The sequence below is a fragment of the Homo sapiens genome, chromosome 15, assembly GCF_000001405.40.
Source record: "Homo sapiens chromosome 15, GRCh38.p14 Primary Assembly".
Lineage (NCBI taxonomy): Eukaryota > Metazoa > Chordata > Mammalia > Primates > Hominidae > Homo > Homo sapiens.
This window is the reverse complement of record NC_000015.10, coordinates 73,635,637-73,655,242: the sequence shown is the minus strand read 5'-3', so window position 1 is coordinate 73,655,242 and position 19,606 is coordinate 73,635,637. Positions and strand designations below refer to the sequence as shown.

General features: G+C 42.1%; 1 long non-coding RNA gene across 1 annotated transcript; it reads right to left on the bottom strand.

Moving 5' to 3' along the window:
• Positions 1-208: 208 nt before the first annotated feature.
• Positions 209-18,826, bottom strand: LOC105370891 (uncharacterized). Its single transcript, XR_932451.3, has 3 exons — positions 18,506-18,826; positions 7,627-7,681; positions 209-658 (listed from the first exon to the last, which is right to left on the bottom strand). It is a non-coding gene; the product is annotated as an uncharacterized LOC105370891 (long non-coding RNA).
• Positions 18,827-19,606: the final 780 nt, after the last annotated feature.

Genomic DNA, 19,606 nt, shown 5'->3' with positions numbered 1-19,606 from the left:
AGGAGTTCAAAATAAAGATAAAAAGGGTAAGTGTACAGCTAATAAAAAATTAGTAGATCTAATTTTTCACTAATAAATTTAATAGAATGGATGATTTCCCAGGAGATGCATAAAATACCAAAATTGACGGTAAGAGGGTGGGAGCTTTTTCCTCTACCCACATAGGTTCTCTGGCTGGGGCTCTGAAAATTAACTGAGAAAAAACAGATTAACAAGGGAAAAACAAATAGTTTATTAGCATGTACAGTGGGCGTGTACCCAGGAGAAACTCAGTGATATGATGAAAAACTCAAAGAGGTGGTTAGAATGTGGGTTTATGCATCTTAACAAAGAACAATAAATTCGTAGAGAAGTGACAAGTCAAAGGAAAAAAAAAAAATCTTAGGCTCCCAAAGGCAGTAAACCATGGGAAAGTAAATATATGAGGGAAATTAATGGAGTAAGGTTTGTTTGTGCAGATCCATCTTGGCGCCAACTTCATCTTCTCTGTGGCCATAAAACTTCCCTAGAAGAGGAGATTTACAGCAGTCCTCATTTCTCAGAAGTTTCTGCTTCTCATGAGATAAGGGAAGCTCTGAGATGGCTTCTTTCTGCATCTGTTGAATCTGAAATAATTGTATGCCAAAGTGGCATGTTTTGGAGTGGCATATTTTGATCTCTACAAGACAAATTGTAAAAAGGAGTCAAAGAACGACATTCCGTCCACCTGCCCTGCCCTCCCCCACCAAGCCTCAGGGCTGTGGGGTTCTATAGGTAAGTACTTCACAATTTCAAGAAAAAACTAATTCCTATAATATCTATACTAGGGGTTTCTAAACTTGATTGCATATCACAATTACCTAGGTACATTTTTAAAAACATATATAGATTTCCTGGCTTCCCAGACTCAACAAACTTAAGTCTCCAAAATTTGGCCTGGGAATCTATATTTTTCATAAAGATTTTTTTTTTTCATTTCAGAAGTTACATTTAGTGGTTGTAAAAAACATCCAACAATATACAAAAGAAAAATTGTCTCCCCATTTTCTCCCTGATCTTACTCCTGCTGAAACAAATTTTATTAGTTTGTGTATAAATGTAACAACTTATATACATCCTTCCATATTTTTCCTGTGATTATACGAAGACAAGTGAAATATGTACTTTAAAATATATTCCCAGGTGACTGTAATGCAGTAAGTTACTGGATCAATATGTGGATGAATTTAAACTATCCCAGGGCATAGAAATACATGGAATGTGAACCAACCATTCTTTAAAGTTCCTGTAACCCTGAACCCAAAACCAAAGAAACATGACATAAAGGAAAAGAAAAGCTATATAACAATCTCATTTATGAAGATGGATGAAAAATTAAAAATAAAATTTTAGCAAAGATGATGGACCAAGCACAAACATTTGCCTTCTCTCCCTCCTGAAACTCAATTAGAATGCCAGTAAAAGAAAATGAGAACAGGCGTGGTGTCTCACGCCTGTAATCCCAGCACTTTGGGAGGCCAAGGTGGGCGGATCACTTGAGGTCAGGAGTTCAAGACCAGCTTGGCCAACATGGTGAAACCCCGTCTCTACTAAAAATATAAAAAATTAGCCAGGCGTGGCGGTGCACGCCTGTAGTTGGGAGGCCGAGGTGGGAGAATGGCTTGAACCCGGGAGGTGGAGGTTGCAGTGAGCCAAGATCATGCCATTGCACTCCAGCCTGGGCGACACAGCAAGACTTCTTCTCAAAAAAAAAAAAAAAAAAAAAAAAGCAGAAGAAAATGATCTGATTAGAGCAGAGAATGAGAGTAGACCATCACCAAAAAGAGACGTTCTGAGATTTGCAGAAAATAGTAAGTGGAGAGAAGCCGCTGATGGATGAGAAGTAGAAGTGGGCCCACTGTGCAGAGTAAGTGAAGGAAGCTGAGGGGCAGGTACACCCAGCAGAGCCCAAGAGCTGGCTGGTGAGGAAAGAAAAGTTATGAGAGCAGAGATTAAGTGGAAGTCTTTCCATAACAACTTCCCAAGGTGCCCTCCTTAGACCACGCCCTTTGCTATCTCTAGTCATGTAGAGCTCAGCTAGATGGGACTAACCATAGAGAATACCCTTCCCCCAGTGCTAAAAGTCAACTCCTAGCCCAGTCTCACTATAGTAACAAACTTCATCTTATGCCCGGAACAAACTTCATGAACAAACTTCATTATTATGCCTGGCCAACTTTTTCCTTCCAGGAGATACTAAATGGGAAAACAGACCTAGCTTCATGCAGTACCCAGGAAACTCAAAACTGGTACCCAGAAAAATCAACACGGTTTCTCTTTTTTTTTTTTTTTTTTGAGATGGAGTCTCGCTGTCGCCCAGGCTGGAGTGCAGGGGCGCGATCTCGGCTCACTGCAGGCTCCGCCCCCCGGGGTTCACGCCATTCTCCTGCCTCAGCCTCCCGAGTAGCTGGGACTACAGGCACCCGCCACCTCACCAGGCTAATTTTTTGTATTTTTAGTAGAGACGGGGTTTCACTGTGTTAGCCAGGATGGTCTTGATCTCCTGACCTCGTGATCTGCCCGCCTCGGCCTCCCAAAGTGCTGGGATTACAGGCGTGAGCCACCGCGCCCGGCCTCTCTTTCTTAAATATAAAAAAGCAAATGTATATCATTGCACATACAAATAAAAGAAACAGATCATGATAAAAATATATTTTTTAAAAAACTGGCTCAAAAGGAATAAAGAATGCAGACAACAGAAAACCGTTACAAACTATATTTCCAGAGAGACTTTTAAAATATAACATATCCATAAACAAGTATAGATTGCTATGGTAAAGGAACAATCATAGAATAAGAAACTGTTCCTTGTTATTATTAATTTTGTCGTTGTTGTTATTTACTAAGAAGACAAGGTCTCACTTTGTTGCATGGGCTGGTCTCAAACTCCTGGACTCAGGCAATCCTTCTGCCTTGGCCTTCCAAAGTGCTGGGATTATAGGCATGAGCCACCACACCCAACCAAGAAACTGTTCTTAAAATTTTAATTGTAATGGCTGAAATTAGAAATGTAATGGAAGAATTGGCAGATAAAGGAGATCTCTTAGAACATAGAGGAAAAAGCAAAAGAGATGGGAAATATGATAGAAAATATAAGAGACAATCAATACAGAAAGTCAAACATTCAGAAAGAGAATAAAAGAGCACAGAAGGTCATAATTTATCTCAAGTAATAAAGACATAATAGTTTTCAGATTGAAAGAGCCCAGCAAGTATTGCACATAATGAGTGAAAAAGACCCATACCTTGACATATCATTGTGAAATTTCAGAACACCAAAAATAAAATTTTTTAAAAGCTCCCCCCCAAAATTTTTTAAACTACTTGCATTGGTGCAAAATCAAATTAATAGTGGACTTCTCATCGGTAACATTAAATGCCAGAAGAAAATGGAGCAATGTCTTAAGACTTGTGAGAGAAAATTGTTTTTAAGCTAGCACTGTATAATACATCCAAACTATCAATCAAGTATGAGAACAAAATAAGGAATTTTCAGACAGACAAAGGCTAAGAAAGCATCTATCTCACATACTTTTTAAGAGAGAGAATCTTGAGGATATCATCAAGCAAAATGAAGGTGAAAACCAAGGAAGAGGAAGCGGTTGGATTCTTGATGTATTATCTATATTGCAATTAATGGCAGCTTAAAGAAATAAGGTTTTATTTTTCCCACATCACAGAATGTCTGGTCACAGGCATTTTATGACTGGCTTAGCAGCTCAGGGATGTCCTAAGTTTTCCTGACATCTTCTTTTTCCATTTCTGCCATCCCTAGCATTTGGTCTTCACCCTCCCTATCACAAGATGGCTGCAGTAATTCCAAGCATCAAATCTCCATTCTCAGTGAGAAGGAAGGAGGAAGTATGAAGACCAAATTTATTCCCATTAAAAAGGTTTTCCTGAGGCCCTACTCAGAAATTTGTATCTGTATCTCATTCGCTAGAATTAGATGGGTCTTAGAGTCATCTCTAGCTGAAAAAAGGAATCTGAAGGGCAAAGCCTCTTTCTCTCCCTCCCTTCCTTCTTTCCTTCTTGCCTTCCTTCTTGCCTTCTTGCCTTCTTTCTTTCTTTTCTTTTGTATAATGCCTCTCTGTGGGAAAAAATGAGGTTCTCCTAGTAATAAAGAAGAGGAGAAAAAGTATTGTGCAAGAAACTAACAGAATTTTTTACATACAAAATATTTGGTTCTAAGAGACAGGAAACTGGCTTAAGCAATAAGGAAACAGAAAGTCCAGATGCAGGGCTTCCAGAATTAGTTGAGTCATTAGCTCCATGATATCATCTGAAGCTCAGGTTGTTTCCATATCTCTGTTCTGCCACCTTAGTGTTGGCTTCAGCTTCAAGCTGACAGCAAGATGGCTGCCACAATTCCAGGTGTCATATCTAATTAGATATGACAATGTCCAGACAAAGAAAAAGGACTGTGTTTTCTGTTTTTTCCCGTCTTAGGGACGAAAATCTTTCCCAGAAGTCCCCTTGCTAATTTATTCTTGTGTCTCATTAGCCAGAATTGAGTCACAATTCTGAACCAATCGCTAGCAAAATGAATGGGATTATTATTGTTAATCTAGACTAATCCTCTGAGTGGGATGTGAGTTGGGGAATCTACCAGTGTTCATTACAATACTTCCTGTAGTGCTCATCTGGGGAAAAGAGTTTCACTAAGACCATACTGTAACAGATCTAGAAGCCAATCATTTCATATCAGAAAAACAGATCAGTTGGCCAGGTGCAGTGGCTCATGCCAGTAATCCCAGCACTTTGGGAGGCCAAGGCAGGTAGATCACCAGAGGTCAGGAGTTTGAGACCAGCCTGACCAACATGGTGAAACAAAAATTAGCCGAGTGTGGTGGCAGGCATGTTTGTAGTCCCAGCTACTGTGGAGGCTGAGGCACGAGAATCACATGAACCTGGGAGGCAGAGGTTGCAGTGAGCCGAGATTGTGCCACTGAACTCCAGCCTGGGAGAAAGAACAAGACTTCATCTCAAAAAAAAGGAAAAAGAAAAAGAAAAAGAAAAACAGATCAGTAGAATCCAACAAGAATGTCTTCAGGAAGAAGAGTAGAATTGATTCTCAGCAAAAATGGTAGATAAGAAGCTGGAAGAGCTTAGTGGCTTAGTCTTACATTAGTTTTCTCGACAAGAGGAAGGTAATTAGAAATTTTAGGAAAGAATGTGTACAACAAAGTCATGGTCCAAATATGAAGCAAAATAGAATCCATTGGACCTCGACTCATTCAAGTATTACGGGTTTGTATTATTGACCTCATAAAGAAGGAATTGTAAGTTGATCACACAGCTTGGCTCTGCAGTAAATATTTTTTTCTTTTCTTTTCTTTTTTTTTTTTTTTGAGGTGGAGTCTCGCTCTGTTGTCCAGGCTGGAGTGCAGTGGCGTGGTCTCGGCTCACTGCAACCTCCGCCTCCCAAGTTCAAGCCATTCTCCTGCCTCAGCCTCCCAAGTAGCTGGGATTACAGGCACATGCCACCATGCCTGGCTAATTTTTTGTATTTTTGGTAGAGACGGGGTTTCACTGTGTTAGCCAGGATGGTCTCAATCTCCTGACCTGGTGATCTACCCACCTCAGCCTCCCAAAGTGCTGGGATTACAGGCATGAGCCACCGCACCTGGCCAGTAAATATTTTCTTAATGACAATAATATACATTATTTTCTATTAGTTTTCAACTTTTGGAAGTAATCCCTAGGCAAAGCACAGAAGATTTAAATATGTTTACACAGCAAAATATAAATGGTAGGAACTACAGCAATGTGGGAATAAAGGGTATAGGTTATTAAATAAGCAGGGAGTTGGAAGTCAGGAAATAGAAATGAAGGGAAGGGTAGGGTGTTAGCCTCATTTTTTTTTTTTTTTTTTTTGAGACGGAGTCTCGCTCTGTTGCCCAGGCTGGAATGCAGTGGTGCGATCTCGGCTCACTGCAACCTCTGCCACCCGGGTTCAAGATCTTTTTTTTCAAAAAACCTTTTTTTTGTGACAGTCTTGCTTTGTCACCCAGGCTGGAGAGCAGTGGCGTGATCTTGGCTCACTGCCATCTGGGCTTACTGCAATCTCTGCCTCCCGGGTTCAAGTGATTCTCGTGCCTCAGCCTCCCAAGTAGCTGGGATAACAGGCGTGCGCCCCCAAGCCCAGCTAATTTTTGTATTTTTTGTAGAGACGGAGTTTCACCATGTTGGCCAGGCTGGTCTCAAACTCCTGACCTCAGGTGATCCACCTGCCTGGGCCTCCGAAACTGCTGGGATTACAGGCGTGACACCTTGCCCAGCCAATAACCTCATCTTACACAGTAATTGAAGATCCAAAGATATTATCAAAAGATGATGGAGTGACTGGGTGCAGTGGCTCATGCCTGTAATCCCAGCACTTTGGGAGGTGGAGGTGGGCGAATCACGAGGTCAGGAGATCAAGACCATCCTGGCTAACATGATGAAACCCCATCTCTACTAAAAAACACAAAAAAATTAGCTGGGCCTGGTGGCAGGCACCTGTATTCCCAGCTACTTGGGAGGCTGAGGTGGGAGAATGGCATGAACCCGGGAGGCGGAGCTTGCAGTGAGCCGAGATAGCACCACTGCACTCCAGCCTGGGCGACAGAGTGAGACTCCATCTCAAAAAAAAAAAAAAAAGATGACGGCGTGAGAAATACATTGTCAAGTATACTACTGAATACTTGAACACAGTAAATGAAGAACAACAACAAAAACATCACGTAACTATTCAAACTGGGAAGAGGGATGGAGAAAGTGGAGGGTAGGCTGAATCTTCATCATTCATAGCAGGAAGTTGAAAGATTAAAAAAATGTTGGCTTCAGAATATTATTTAACCTTATGAAAGCAACTAGTAGAAGAACTAAAAGAGAAACAGTTAAAAGTAGTTAACTCTAACTTGTACTTCTTCCTATGAAGGATTAAGTGCTACAAAAATTGCAATCCCATTATAAACAACTAGTAAACCAAGCAAAATATATAAAACAACGTGGGCAGCACAGGACTGCAATCCCTGAGTGAAGGGGCACAGGTATTGGGAGTTCTGCAATTGCTGCCTTCAGGCAGTTTTCTGGCTCTAGCGCAGGGAGAGGGACCCATCCAGAACCACCAGCCTTGTTGAGTTTAGAAGACAGAGACTGGAATTTGGGGAGGCTGAGGTGGAACCTGTGGGGCAGCCTACAGGGAAGGAGGAAGCTGCACACCAGAAAGCTCTAGAGATCTGCAAAAGGATCCTCTAAACTAGTCTTTGGCTGAGTGATGATCTGTACATGCCTGGGGTGAAACTCCAGGAGGGTGGGGTAAAAACCACTGGAAAACAGTTGTTCAAATAATTCCTGGAGCTCACACACAGCTAGAACTCGTTTTTGTTCCCATGAGCCAGAGTAAAGAGACTTTGTAAAATAGAGGGCATTCTCAGAAGCAGAAGGCCTTGACAGAAGACATAAATACACCTAGAAAAATGGCTGTTCTGATTCCGTAACTGCAGAAAAACAAGCCTCAAAAAGATCAAACTGATATGCAATAGTTTAACTGCATGCCAAACAAAGCCCAATACTCCTTAAAGAAAAGCAACAAAGGGTAGCAATCAGCAAGGTAAAATTTACCATGTAGAGCATCCAGTGAAAAACTACCAGGCATACAAATCAGCAGGAAGATGACCTATAGTGAAGAGAAAAATGCATCATTAGAAAATACTAGAAATGGGCTGGGCACGGTGACTCATGCCTGTAATCTCAGCGCTTTGGGAGGCTGAGGCGGGATTATTGCTTGAGGCCAGGAATTCAAAACCAGTTTGGGCAACATCATGAGACCCCACCTGTCCAAAAAAAAATTTTTTTTTATTTAGCAGGGTGTGGTAGAGCATGCTTGTAGTCCCAGCTACTTAGGAAGCAGAAGCAGTAGGATCTCTTGAGCCCATGAATTGGATACTGCAGTGAGCTATGATTGTGTCACCCTGTACGCCAGCCTGGGTGACAGAGTGAGACAGAGATTTTGTCTCTTAAAAAAAAAAAAAAAAAAGCCAAAAACCTGCAATGACAAAGATGATAGAATTAGCAGACAAGGATTTTAAAGCTATTTTTAAATCTTACAAATATGCTTAAGATGAAAAGGAAAACATAAAAATAACGAGGAGACAAAGAAAATATATTAAAAGACCCAAATGGAATTTCTAGAATGAAAAACACAATTATCTGAAATGAAATCTATACAAGTTTGGATTGAGAGCAGGTTAAACACTAGAAAAAAGAGGTCAGTGAATGTGAAGACATAGCAATATTTACCCAAAATGAAGAAAACAGAGAAAAACGAGAATGAAAAAAAGTGAACGCCTGTAATCCCAGCACTTTGGGAGGCTGAAGTGGGCAGATCCTTCTCCTCCCTTTCCCCCCTCCCCCTCCCCCTCCTCCATGATAAATGTGGCCGGGCACAGTGGCTCATGCCTGTAATCCCAGCACTTCGGGAGGCCGAGGCAGGTGGATCACCTGAGCTCAGGAGTTTGAGACCAGCCTGGCAACATGGCCAAACTCCATCTCTATAAAAAATACAAAAATTAGGTGGGTGTGGTGGCGTAAGCGTATGGTCCCAGCTACTTGGGAGGCTGAGATGGAAGGATCCTTTGAGCCCAGAAAGTTAAGGCTGCAGTGAACTGTGATCCACTGCACTCTAGCCTGGGCAAGAGTGAGACTCTGTCTCAAAAACAAAACAAAAACAAAACACAAGCCTAGTGATTCTATGGGATGATAACAAGTGATCTAAAATACACGTGACAGGCTGTGCGCGGTGGCTCGCGCCTGTAATCCCAGCACTTTGGGAGGCCAAGGAAGGTGGATCACCTGAGGTCAGGAGTTCAAGACCAGCCTGGCTAACATGGTGAAACTCTGTCTCTACTAAAAATACAAAAATTTTCTGGGCATGGTGGCGGGAGCCTGTAATCCCAGCTACTAGGTAGGCTGAGACAGGAGAATCACTTGAACCCGGGAGGTGGAGAGTAAGCCAAGATCACACCATTGCACTCCAGCCTGGGCGACAGAGCGAGACTCCATCTCAAAAATAAAATAAAATAAAATAAAATAAAATAAAATAAAATAAAATAAAATAAGTGTAACTAGAGTTGCAGAAGGGTAGAAGAATAGAAACTTATGAGAAGAAATAATGGCATAAGATTTTCCAAATTCGAGGAAAGCTATAAACCTATAGATCCAAGAAGCTCAATGAACTCCAAATGGAACAAATATAAAGAAAACAATAAACATCAAGGCACATTATAATCAAATTGCTGAAAAACCAGTGATAAATAAAATAATTGAATAGCGGCCAGAAAAAAAACGACGTATTATGTTCAATGGAACAAAGGCAAGGATTATAGTAGAATTTTCACCGAAATTATGCCAAGCAAAAAATAATGGAATGACATCTTTAAAGAATTGAAAAAAGAATCTGTTAACTTGGAATTCTATACCTGACAAAAAAAAAATACCCTTCCTTCCTTCCTTCCTTTCTTTCTCTCCTTTTTCTATTTTTTTAAGATGAGATGTCACCATGTTGCCCAGGCTGGTCTTAAGCTCCTGGGCCTCCTGTCTTGGCCTCCCAAAATGCTGGGTTTACAGGAGTGAGCCGCTGTGCCTAGCCAAAATATGTTTCAAAAGAGAAGGTGAAATAAAGACTTTCTCAGGCAAAAGTTTAGAGAGTTCATCAGGCAGAAGGAAAATGATACCAGATGGAAATTTGCATCCACACATAAGAATGAAGAGTATAGAAATGATAAATGTGGCTGGGCACAGTGGCTCATGCCTGTAATCCCAGCACTTTGGGAGGCCGAGGCAGGTGGATCACCTGAGTTCAGGAGTTCGAGACCAGCCTGGCCAACATGGCAAAACAACATCTCTACTAAAAATACAAAAAATAGCTGGGCATGGTGGCATGTGCCTATAATCCCAGCTACTTGGGAGGCTGAGGCAGGAGAATTGCTTGAAATCGGGAGGTGGAGGTTGTAGTGAGCCGAGCTGGGCCACTGCACTCCAGCCTGGGCCACAGACTGAGACTCCATCTCAAAAAAAAAAAAAAAAAAGAAAGAAAAGAGAAAAGATAAATGTGAATATAAGTATACTAAATATGTTTCCTCCTCCTCCTTCTTCTTTTTTTTTTTTTTTTTTTGAGACAGGGTCTCACTCTGTGACCCAGGCTGGAGTGCAGTGACGCCATCTCCATTCACTGGAACCTCTGCCTTCTGGGCTCAAGGGAATCTTCTGCCTCAGCTCCCTAAAGTAGCTGGGAGTACAGGCACAAGCCACCACGCCCAGCTAATTTTTGTATTTTTTGTAGAAACGGGGTTTCACCATGTTGCCCAGGCTGGTCTCAAACTCCTGAGAGCAAGTGATCTACCTGCCTTGGCCTCCCAAAGTGCTAGGATTACAGGCATAAGCCACTGCGCCTGGCCCTAAATATGTTTTCTTATTTTCACATCTCTTTAATGTAATGGACTATTAAAATATTTTTAAATTTCCATTATTATTTATTCTTTGGTTTCTTTTTAGAAGTGTGTTGTTCAATTTCCAATTCTTTGAGGATTTTCAAGATATCTTTTTCTTTTTGACTTTTAGTAGTATATTCCTTTGTGGTTAGACAACATAGTTTGCATGATTTCACTACTTTTTATTTATTTTTTTTTAGATGGGGGTCTCACTATGTTGCCTAAGCTGGTCTCAAATCCTGAGCTCAAGGGATCCTCCTGCATAGCTGGGACTACAGGCATGCCCCACCGTGCCTGGCAATAAATTTAAATTTGTTGAGACTTATTTTATAGTCTGGAACACAGCCTATCTTAGTGAATGCTCTGTGCGCACCTGGAAAGAATGCATATTCTGCTATTATTAGGTAGACGATGCTATTAGATCCAGTTGATGGATTGTGTTGTATGTCTCCCATATCCTTACAGATTTTCTGTCTACTTTTTCTATCAATCACTGAAAGAAAGGTGTTAAAATAGCCAGCTATAATTGAGGACTTGTCTATTTTGCATTTCAGTTTCTGCTTCATGCATAATAAAGCACTGTTGTACACACCATTTCGGATTGTTATGTGCTCCTGGTGAATTGACCCCATTATCATTATGTAATATCACTATGATTCCCTGATAATATTTCTTCTTCTGAAATCCACTTTGATATGAATACAGTCATTCTGGCTTCTCTTTAATTAATGTCTGCATGGGATACTTTTTCAATTCTCCTACTTTAAATCTATTTGTGGCTTCATATTTGAAATGGCTATCTCAGAGACAGCATATAGTCGGGTATTATTTTTTTAATTCAATCTGAAAATCTGTTTATTAGAGTGTATAAATATGTCAAAACATATCAAATTGAATACTTTAAATATGCACCGTTCATTGTATGTCACTTATACCTCATCAAAACTGTGTATAATATTTATTTGATGCCCTGCTTTGTGCCACTAACTATGCTAAACACTGAGAAATATGGCAGTAAATAACACTCTGTCCTTGAGGAGCTCACAGTAGAGAGGAAACCTAGTTTCACCCCAAGTCTCACATCTCATAGCTTATAACACGGAGAAGAGAGAAACTGACTCTCTTTCCTCAGTTTTAACCCAAAAATTTTCCAGGGCTTCTGGATGGCCTGGCTTGAGTCTGGTGACCACCCCTGAACGAAACAGGGAAACAGGGACTTGTAAGAATGGAGTGGTCCAATTAGAGCTACGTAGATGGGAGCACTTCTCAAGAGAAAATGTCAATACTCAGAAGGCATCTCTGTTTCAACTATAACCAACCATTAACCTGGTAAAAACCAGAAATGAGTTTCCCAACTGTGAGAAGGAGAGCACCAAAATAAAGAGCATCTTGGGCATTCTGACACTAGCCACGATGAGGCAGCTCTTTTTTAAAGTCAGAATCTATGAACCCTCTTTAAAACATCATGTAGGCCAATGCTACTGACTTTGGCATATTTTTCTGTGGACCTGCAGGGATGAAAGTTATCACATCAGGTCTTACCATGGCTTTCTCAGCTGATGAAGGAAACGCTTCTCTGCACACCCTGTGAAGGAGCAGGTCTCAAAGTGTGGTCTCCAAACCAGTAGTATCCACACCACCTGGGAGCTTGTTAGAAATGGAGATTCTCAGGCCCCCAACCCAAACCTACTGAGTCAGAAACTCTGGGGGTGAGGCCCAGAAGTCCATCTTTTAACAAACATTTCTTGTGATTCTGCTGAACACTCAAATTTGAAACGATAACAACAACAACACAACCACATTTGAGCACCTGTTCTCAATTTTGGCTGCATATTGGAATCACCTGGGGAGTCTTAAAAATATACTGATGCCTGGGTCTCCCCTCCAGGGATTCTGATTTAATTGGTGTGGTCTAGGGTTGGGATTTTTTAAGGTTCCCCAGGTAATCCAATGTGCATCAACATTCGAGAAGCAGTGCATTACAGCACATTAAAGTGCATTACTCTGCTATGCAAGCTGGGCCCCATCCCCAGATCAATTGCATTTAAATCGCTGGGGCTGGAACCTGGACATTGTTGTGTATATCTATTTTGGCACTGGTGTTTTTTTCAAGCTCCCTAGTTGATTCTAATGTGTAGCTGGGGCAGAGAATCACTTCATTATTGTGACATGTGTGGCCTCCTTTTACTTGCTTCCCCTCCTGGCTTCAGGAATGAGTTTTCTGGTGGACAACTGAGGCGGAAGGACTTGAGCAAGCCTGGGACCGGCGTCCTACAGAGAGCAGATGAGTGGTTCTGCTTCTCCATGCTGCCCTAAGTTTTCCAGTGGCCATGGGAGACTTGTGGTTTTCCTGCACTACCAACATCTCTGAATAAGTCTGCCAAATTCAGGGGCAAAGTGTTAGCAAGCTCACTTGGCCAGCAGACTAAGCCATGTTCTCCACCATTTTGACCTCCATATGCCTGACTCCTGTGTCCGTCTCTCAGTTGTTTCCAAGTTTGAGAAGGGATTAAAAGAATGCCTTGTATTAGCCACTAAAACCCCAACCCCAACAGTGGAGAGAGCCTACCTCAGCTGTTTAGTTGCCCTGCCCCATTTGAGCATTGGCCATCATAGTAGAGCTGGTACCCAAGATGCTCCCTGAAGAAATTATGAGCACCTCAAACTTCTGGGGCCAGGAGGTGAAACAACATTATACCAGCCTTAGCAGATCTTGAATGGAGAACTTGCCCAAAGAGAGTGCTTTATCTTCAGATAAGACTCATGGTGTCTGAGGAGGGTCATTGCAAGAGATCATCTTCCCCAAGAAAGTGACTCAGCCACCCTCAGCATATTTCCTTTGAGGTCCAAAGGACTTGGGTTCAAATTCTGGCTCTATTACCTGCCAGCTGGGGACCTTGAACAAGGCATTCTCCATTCTGAAGCCTAGTTATCTTGTTTATGAAATGAACATGATTGGTCGTTGTGATAACCAAGTGAAATAATGGGATAATGAATGCTTTATTTTTCCTATTGTGGGAAATGCTTTGTAAACTGTGAAAAGCTGTAGCATGTAAGACGTTGTTATAATGAACTCGTGTTCTAGATGGGGAGACTGGATGTGGAGAGGTGCAAAATTAGCCCGTCATGCAAGGCTTGGTAACATTTTTCAATGGTATAGGGAGGAGCTTTATAGGTATTGGGAGGCAGAAGGAAGCATTGAGGGCTGGACATGCAGCCTTGGCAATTGCTAGAGAGTCTCCTTGTGTGGAGGGAGAACTGGTCCTCCCTCACAATTCATTGCATTGTTCTCTGTGCTGCATTCACTTTCTACTTGGAGACAACAGCCACCACACCATGACCTTAGGGGAGGCTTCCTGGCCATTTATGTTCTGACCCAAAGGACAAATGGCCCTTCCCTTAATTCTGTGCAGCACAGCTGAGCCTGGAGGAACAGCTAAGTAAAACGTTACTAATAGAAGGAAATGATGATGGAGAGTAACATGTGATCAGGCTTATAGGTAGCACAGCTTAACGACTCATTCTGCTTTAATATATTACGGTATTTACAGATAGATTTCTTTTATTGACAAATAAAGAGGTTCTGGACTAGATTTTGTTAAAGAAAGCTACAGGTTACCTCATAGATGATCAACATCTTAAACCCTTAATATGGTCCTCAAGGCATTGCCTGATATGGCCCCAATGCCCCTCCTTCAGCCTCAGCTCCTTTTGCCCCGCTTCTCCTTGCTGTTTGAGCTCTAGGCACACTGGGATCCTCCGCAGACCTTGACAATCTCCTTCCTGCTTCCAACCCTTTAAACCTGCCTGGAACAGACCTCCCCTACCTAGGCCTACCTTATCTGTGCCAGGCTAATTCTTTTTTGTTCATTTGTTTTTTATTTTTTAGTTTATTTTTGCCTCTAGATATAATTTTTTGTTGTTTATTATTTTTTAGCCTGACTAACTTTTTTTTTTGAGATGGAGTCATGCTCTGTCACTTAAGCTGGAGTGCAGTAGTGTGATCTCAGCTCACTGCAACCTCCACCTCCTGGGTTCAAGTGATTCTCATGCCTCGATCTCCCAAGTAGCTGGGATTACAGGTGTGTGCCACCATGTGCAGCTAATTTTTGTATTTTTAGTAGAGAAGGGGTTTCACCAAGTTGGCTAGACTGGTCTCAAACTCCTGACCTCAGGTGATCTGCCCACCTTGGCCTCTCAAAGTACTGGGATTACAGGCGTGAGCTACTGCGCCTGACAGCCTGGCTAACTCTTAAGCATCCTTCAGAGCACAGCTTTGCTGTCCCTTCCTCCAGGAGCCTTTCTTGACCACTCCTCCCACCTCAGACATAGTTAGGTTTCCCTGTAACATATTCCCTTAGCATCCAATATGTCTACTCTTATCATGGACCAAAATTATCATTAAGTAAGCAATGGTATCATTGTTGTTCAATGTCTATGTTCCCTGTCATCATTGTATACCATACCCTTGCACAGACTATGCACCCAACATTTGTGAAATTAATGAGGACTGAATGAATGGTGAACAGAGATGGTTTTCCAGAATAAGTGGAATTAGAGTCGGGCCTTGAGGCAGAACTGGACTCCAACATCATAGTGACAGACTGAAAGGAGCACTGGATTGAGAGGCAAGAGTCTGAGATTCTGAGTCTAGCTGTATGCTTTGTCTATTCATTCAGGAGATATTCACTAAATGCCCACTGCCAGGCACTGTAGTAGGTACTGGAGATATGCTGCAGTTTGCCATGGTTACTATGGTTACCACAGGACTGAACGAAGGAGGATGAATACAGAAATGAAAACTTAAAACAAAAGAAACCGTTTTAAAGAAGGGGTCCGGGGAAGAAGAAGGCTCCCTGCTTCTAGTGAGCAAAGGCAGCCCTGAGCTTCTACAGCCCTTCGTATTTATTGGGTAGAAAGAGCAGGGAGGAGGAGGTAACGATTGGTCAGCTGCTTAATTGATCACAGGTTCACATTACTGCTAACAGGCTTCAGATGTGCCTAACCACAAGAAACACTGCTTGGGGCGTGACTGCCCTCAGCATTCCTTCTGGGCGGCAGACGCAGTTTGTCAGTTTGCCAACATCCTGCTTTCATGAAAACAGTTTGCTGTTTACTCACAGAGCCTCCAGTGGTATACTGAGTTGATCATGACCCTCATTCTTTCAGCCTGCAACAGAGATACAGTGGTAAATAATACTGATACCATTGGTCATGGTTCCCTCCTCCTGGAGGTCTAGAGAAGGATTCAGATGCAAGTTGAATAACCACACAAATAAATGTAAAATCCCAGCTGTGATAAGAGCCATGAAGATATGCATGGAACAATCAGTGTGTTTAAGAATGAGATTTAGGCCAGGCATGGTGGCTCGTGCCTGTAATTCCAGCACTTTGGGAGACTGAGGTGGGTGGATCACCTGAGGTCAGGAGTTCAAGACCAGCCTGGCCAACATGGTGAAGCCCCGTCTCTACTAAAAATACAAAAATTAACCAGGTGTGGTGGTGCATGCCTGTAATCCCAGCTATTCGGAAGGCTGAGGCAAGAGAATCACTTGAACCCGGAGGCAGAGGTTGCAATGAGCTGAGATCATGCCACTGAACTCCAGCCTGGGCAACAGAGCGAGACTCTGTCTGGAAAAAAAAAAAAAGAAAGAAAGAATGAGGTTTAACTGAGTTGTGGAGCCCAGGAAAGGCTTTGATAAGGAGATGTTTTTGTTTTCATTTTTAAATTGAGGTGTAGCTTCGATAAGTTTTGACAAATGTATACACTAACGTAACTATCACCCAGATCAAGATACAGAAAATTTTTATCACCCAGAACATCCCCTGTGTCCCTTTCAGTCAATACCCTCCCTGTCCCAGGAAACCACTGAAACTGATCTGATTTGTGTCAATGTAAATTAGTTTTGCCTATTCTATAACTTTGTAGAACTATGCTATATATATACATACATTTTTTTTGTCTCACTTTCACTCAGTATCATTCTTCTGAGATTCATCCGTGTTGTTGTGTGTCAATAATTTATTTACTTATTTATTTTTCCTGAGTAGTATTCTATCATATGACTAGTCCACAGTTTGTTTATCCATTCATCTGTTGATGAGTATTTGGGTTGTTTCCTGTTTTGGCTATTATGAATAAAGCTGCTATGAACATTCTTGTACAATTCATTTTGTAGACATATATTTCACTTCTCTTGGGCACTGAGATTCGGGAGTAGAATTGGTGGTCATAGATTAGATATGTATTTAACTTGATGGAAAACTGTCAGCAGTTCTTCAAAGTAATTTTGCCATTTTTATCTGCATACTAGCAATGTATGAGAGTTCCTGTTGCTCCACATCCCTATCAATATTTGGTATTTTCAGGTTTAAAAAAATTATTATTGCTATTATTATTTTGAGACAGAATGTCATCCTGCCGCCCAAGCTAGAGTGCAGTGGTGTGATCTTGGCTCACTGCAACCTCCGCCTCCTGGGTTCAAGTAAGTCTCCTGTCTCAGCCTTCTGAGTAGCTGGGATTACAGATGTGCGCCACCATGCCCTGCTAATTTTTGTATTTTAAGTAGAGACGGGGTTTCGCCATGTTGGCCAGGCTGGTCTTGAACTCCTGACCTCAATTGATCCACCCACCTTGGTCTCCCAAAGTGCCGAGATTACAGCCATGAGCCACTGTGCCCAGCATTTAAAAATTATTGAATTAAATATGTGCATGTGAAATGGCACTTCACTGTGGTTTAAAATTTCATATTAGGAGAGATGAGTTGAAGCTGAGATCTAAAGGATGAGAAGTAGACCAGGTAAAAAAGATGGGTTGTTCAGTATTTGGGGCAAAGAGAACAAAATATGCAAAGGCCCCCAAGGTGAGATGAAGCAGAACCATCACAAAGAACTGAAAGGGAATGTGGTGTGGGGTGAGGCTGCTGGGGGAAGTGGTGGGAAGCACTGAGCCATTCACCTTCAAGGAATCACGTGGATCTGCTCAATGTTCCTACCAGCAGTCACCATGGTGAACTAAAAAGCAAATAAAAAGGAATGTCCTAGGCTGTGTAAAACACCAGGAATTTCATATTATCCTGGGAAGTAGTCACGGAGGCTCATAAAAGCCAACATTGAATTTCTTGTCATCTCAGCAGAAAGGTACTCAGACTAGATTAAATCTGATTTATAGAAAGAAAAAAATGAGGCATTTCTGGCAAGTGACCATTGTAGTTGCAAATTCATGCTTATCGCATATGAAAGAGTAGGATTGCTGAGTAGTGTTGAATATCCTTTTGAAGTTTGAGATCATGAATTTAAAATGAAGTCATTTAGAAGGTTTGTATGATTTTTCTCTGGCAACACTCAGCTGCTCAGGTACAGGCATGGTACCTTACTTCAGACTATAGTGCTCAGTCAGGTCGTGGTTTTTCCAGGAAAGTATGTTGAAAGTTGAGGTGGGCAAGGGAATGATTATAATGATGAATCATGGGCTCTAAATTGGACCAAGAAAGAAATGAAGAATGGATAAAGACAAATTGGTGGTATTAGCAGATTAGTGGTCTCAGTGAGGTTGAAGAATTACAGCAAATAGGGTATTAGCACAAGGAACTGAAAGGCTAGGTGTTGGTGAATGGACAGTGGGGTATTACATTTTCATATTTCAAAGATGAAGTACTTTTTGGGTGATTAAAGTGTTGACAGTGTGAGCTCAGAAGTGTTGGTTTAATTGAGGAGAAAGTTGTTGGACGTGAGAAGGTAAAAGGATTAAGAGATCAGGATACTGAATAGGTCACGAACATGGATGTTGAACTCACCCAAGGATGAAGTTCAAGGATGGTGCCAGCAGGCATCGGAAGGGGCAGGGAAAAGATTACATTGACTGGGAGGTCGGAGGATGACAACAATCAAGATGAGTGGGGTGGTCATCTGAATAGCAAGAGCTTTAAAGGGGCAGAGATATTTACAAGAGGGAGGAAACCATTAGGAAGTTCAAGGTCAACTCTAGGAACAGTACAAGCCTTTTGACTAACATCCTTGAGTGAATCACGTTCAAACCAAACCACGCGAAGCCTTTCAGTTGGGAATGCTGTATTCCAGACCTTTCCACCAGGGGGCGCGATCAGCAACGGAGAGCCTAACTACAAGCAGTCCCTCGAGGCCAGGTAAGTGTGTCTCAGCTTGAGCTCTGAGGACCCCTAGGGCTCTTCTAAGGTATTGCAAAGAGCTCAGCCATCCTCTGGCACAGCCACACACACTTGCAGAGATTTTTTTTTTTTACAGTGTATGTAAATCTTGAACAACAAAAAAATACAAATTCCTAAATTCTTTTAAAGAAGTTACTGACTTAGGCCGGGCGCGGTGGCTCACGCCTGTAATCCCAGCACTTTGGGAGGCCGAGGCAGGTGGATCACAAGGTCAGGAAATCGAGACCATCCTGGCTAACACAGTGAAACCCCGTCTTTACTAAAAACATAAAAAATTAGCCGGGCGTGGTGGCAAGAGCCCGTAGTCTCAGCTACTCGGGAGGGTGAAGTAGGAGAATGGCATGAACCCGAGAGGCAGAGCTTGCAGTGAGCCGAGATCGCGCCACTGCACTCCAGCCTGGGAGACAGAGCGAGACTCCGTCTCAAAAAAAAAAAAAAAAAAAAAAAAAAAGGAAGTTACTGACTTAGACCAGGCATGGTGGCTCACTCACGCCTGTAATCCCAGCACTTTGGGAGGCTGAGGCAGGCAGATCACCTGAGGTCAGGAGTTTGAGACCAGCCTGGCCAACATGGCAAAACTCTTGTCTCTACTAAAAATACAAAAATTAGCTGGGCATGCTGGCGGATGCCTGTAATCCCAGCTACTTTGGAGGCCGAGGCACAAGAATCTCTTGACCCCGGGAGACGGAGGTTGCAGTAAGCCGAGATCCCGCCACTTCACTCCAGCCTGGGCAACAGAGCAAGACTCCATCTCAAAAAAAAAATTACAGAATTATTAAAAGGTCTTAGTTATTATGTATTTTCTCGATGAAAAGTGACAAAGTACAGCTACTATCATGTGGAATTTGGTGACATTTCTCCCTGGGTAAAAGGGTTTTTTCATAACTGCAGGTTTTGAGAGTTGACTGGTAACACCCATACTTAAAA